This window comes from Homo sapiens, chromosome X (assembly GCF_000001405.40).
Source record: "Homo sapiens chromosome X, GRCh38.p14 Primary Assembly".
Lineage (NCBI taxonomy): Eukaryota > Metazoa > Chordata > Mammalia > Primates > Hominidae > Homo > Homo sapiens.
The window spans coordinates 42,801,510-42,805,300 of record NC_000023.11 but is presented as its reverse complement, the minus strand read 5'-3'; the positions used below and the strand labels follow the sequence as shown (position 1 = coordinate 42,805,300).

Below are 3,791 nucleotides of genomic sequence, written 5' to 3'. Positions count from 1 at the left end.
TTTTTCTTCTGTTTCCACAGAAATACCTCTTATTGAAGATCTGTTTGTCTGCATTATAAACAGAGGCCTCCCTTTGAGAGTTCATCTGCAATATCACCTTCTGAAATGAGACACAGCTATTTAACAGAACTGACCTATTTGCAGGACTAAGACTGATTTGAGAAGATATGGGCTGCTTGTTCCAATCTGTGTTGTCCTTCCCATATTGCCAATCTCACATCTCTTATCTGAATCTCTCTAAAGCTAGTCACTTGGGCTTTAATATGTGAAACTTTCTAAAAATAAAGTTTTAAATGGGGGACTAATAAAAACCAAAAATATTTTACCCCAAAATATACTTTTTTGACATATTTTGGGATGGCTGTTCAGAGGGCCTGCAGACAGGAATAGCCCTGAAAAGCTTTCTTTTGTGGAGTAGATTTGCATCTGTAGAGAAAAATCTACATTAGTGAAATAAACAGCCAGACTTTTTCTGAGGTCCTCCCCTTTATCCAGATCTGGTAATGATTAACTCGACCACAGGCTGCCACTTATTTTTTCTGAGAGCTGCTACCTGTGAGTCTTCATCTACATAACAAGGCTGCCTTTACTCCTTGCCTTTCTTTCTCTCTCCCTCCCTTAGCTTGTCTCCCCATGCTCCAATCCCCTATTCTTCTGTAACCTCAAGATGGTATAATAGAGACAACCATCTGGCCCTTTCTTTGAGCTTTCATATTTTACATGTTTCTCGTGTACATATGTGCATGTTAATACATTTTGTAAGTCTTTTCTCCTATTAATCTTCCTTTTGTCAGTTGATTTTCAGTGAACATTCAGAGAGTGAAGGGGAAGGTTTCTTTTGGCCACTACAACATCGACATTTTTTTATCCTCCAGTTTGACAAAAACTAAAACCTTTATAACAAACTGTGGTAGCAAGCTTGTGGAAAACACTCTCATTCAGTGTTGTTAGGAGTTAAGTTTGTTAGAACTCTACATAAGGCAATTTGTCAATATCTGTCAAAATTAAAAATGAATATAGCAATTGACTAAGCAATTCCAAGTATTCATGCAGAATGTTTCTAAGAGTAAAATATTGAAAATAGTCCACATGTCTTTTATAAGGACTGTTTAAATGAATTAAAGCACATTTAATCAATTAAATGCACTGTAAATGTCACCCCCTAAAAAACGTTTTGTGCACTAATATGCATTTATGTTCAAAAGAAATACACACACAGACACATAGGATTAATGTGCTACTCAGGGAGGGGAAATAGATGGCTGAGAAGCTGAGCTGGGAGAAAACCTTTTCACAGCCTTTCCTGAAAGTATGTTTGAGAGGAGACACAGGAACATCTGGAAATGGGGGATATGGAGCAGAAAAAAAAGCATATTTTATCCCATATGCCCACTCTGAGTATTCACATCATGCATTTGTAATGGAGTTGAAGTACCTGAAGTGTCTCCAACTTGGAGACAAGAAACCTAGGGCGGGTTTGATGGCTGATAATTGATAACCTCTCATAAAGAAATGTAGATTTTCTCCTTTCCATTTTAAATAATAGGATTACAAGTAATAGATAGAGGCTACAAGACAATAAAATGATTGTTCAATATAAAGAAGGATTTCTAATCCTTAGAGCTCTTCAAAGATGTGATACGGTGACTTAGAATGTGGAGTTGCCCATTACTGGGACTGTCAAGCCAAGATTAAGCAATGGGCATGTTATAAAGGAAATAAAAGCTTCAGTTGAAATACTGAACTAGACTAGCAATTCCCAATATTTTCTACACTTATGGAAGATGACATTCACATGTGTAATACATTCCAAGAGGCATAACCAGACCTATGTGTAATTGTCTGGCAGGAATCTACCTTTTTTTTTTTCTTTCACTAAGAATAGCATATCAGAAGCTAGATGTCAAGGAGAGTAACATTATTAAGGGGATAACCGTGAATTATTTCCATTGAAAGATATAGATAAAATAGGCATAGAAATACACATAGAAGTGTACCATAGATGCAGCTATCATAGAAATAGACTGGCAGGAAATCTTGGTTATTTAACTAGTATTGCTAACAATTTACCTGTGACATAATTAATTACAAAAACTAGGATATCTAAAAACTATAGGCAAAAATACCAAAACTGATCTTATACCTTGCTACTACTCAAAATGTCCTCCACAGACCAGCAGGAGAGGCCTTACCTGGGAGCTTGTTAGACCTGCAGAATCTCAGCATCCACTCCAGACCTGCTGTGTCAGAATCTACATTTTAACAAGATCTCCAAATGATTCATAAGCATATCAAAGTTTGAGAAGCACTGGCCTAGATAAATGTTGAATTCCTTCTAGATGGAAATGTAGGTAAAAATGACAGGACCAGATATGATGTCAGCATCTGTAATAAAGCCTAACCATATATTCCTGCTTCCATGCCTCCACAATTTTGGATGACCTTTCATCCTTTAAGTATAGCTATACCAAAAGAGGCAAGCTATTTTCTGGAGAGCAGTTGCTACTCAGCGTTCAGTTGCTGATAGATTGTTTCCACACAAAATTGCAATTCATAACTCAGGATCTGCTCTAACTTTCAAGATTCCAAGCATTAGTTGTGACAGTTTTGATTTTGAGTTTTTATGTTCATACCCATTCTCATCCCTGTAACTTTTGGCATATACCTAAAGATCTATTGAGAAAAGAAATTATAAAAATAAAGTGGTACTATAATCTGAAAGATAACAGTGCTTTGAAACTTTTCATTACGTTGTCAAAAAAAGAACAAGGAAAATGGTGCTTTTAACTGTTCAATACTTTATAGTGGCTTTCTAATACATCACCCCATGTCTGTAGTGTGATACCCAGTCTCATTTTGCAGCAATGCATTACTTATGCGTGCATATCATGCTAATGATTTTCATCTTGTCATTGGAAACTAATCTGGAAATGACTTTTCTACAGGTTCTTTGATAAACAATAAGAGGAAATTTTTTCTTTGTGGAAAGATTGTGTCACTAATGCAAGAAGCCTACTGAAAAGTAATAAACCTCATGATATACTGAATCTCACTTCCCTCATGTCTCTTTGCTTTTCTCTGTTTTTCTTTAAAGGAAATTTTTCAAGATGCCTTTGAAAATGTTAGCAACCCAAGCCTAAATTTATAAACCCAATTTTTGTGGCTACTGTATTCTCTATGGTCCTTCATTGTTTTGGTTTACAGTCCATACATCTCAGTTTCTTGCTCATACTCAGAAGGGAAAACATCATCTTAATAATAGTCAAAAGTGCCCCAAGAGCCATTTCTCATTAGTTGATGACAGGCCTTGTCATACTCAATACTTTCACTTTCCCATAAAAAAGTAAAATGAAAAAAAAATTGGCTTTATTTCTGAAACACTTAGAAGTATAACGGCAGGGAGAAATGGGAAATGGAATAATTCATGGCATGACTGATCCTAATAAGACTTAAACAAACAATAGAGACAGAGATATATTGCCTGAGCCATGAAGCAATATTCTGTTTTGTTCCTTTTAAGTGCATGTTTCTCAAAAAGCCAGATAAAATATACCATTTTGAGCACAATTACCTAAAGAAAGCATTTTCCATTGAGATAGGGGCTGATCTCCTTGAAAAGTTGTGTCCATCCACTGCAGGAGGATTTTCTATTAGGGCTAAGGCAGTCATCTGCTGTAACAACCCCAAACAATCACTGCCTGATGGATGCACCTGTACTGATCTCTCATATTCACTAATGAGAGCATTTATCAAGTCCCTACTGTGTGTATCAGGAGCTAGGGAGAAACAAA

At 36.2% G+C, this 3,791-nt stretch overlaps 1 annotated feature.

The window, feature by feature from the left end:
- Positions 353–923: an enhancer, noted in NCBI's record as "OCT4-NANOG hESC enhancer chrX:42663629-42664199 (GRCh37/hg19 assembly coordinates)". NCBI's record gives its function as "activates a minimal SCP1, AML or CMV promoter by ChIP-STARR-seq in primed H9 embryonic stem cells {active_cell/tissue: H9 hESC(primed)}" and the evidence as "EXISTENCE:reporter gene assay evidence [ECO:0000049][PMID:30033119]".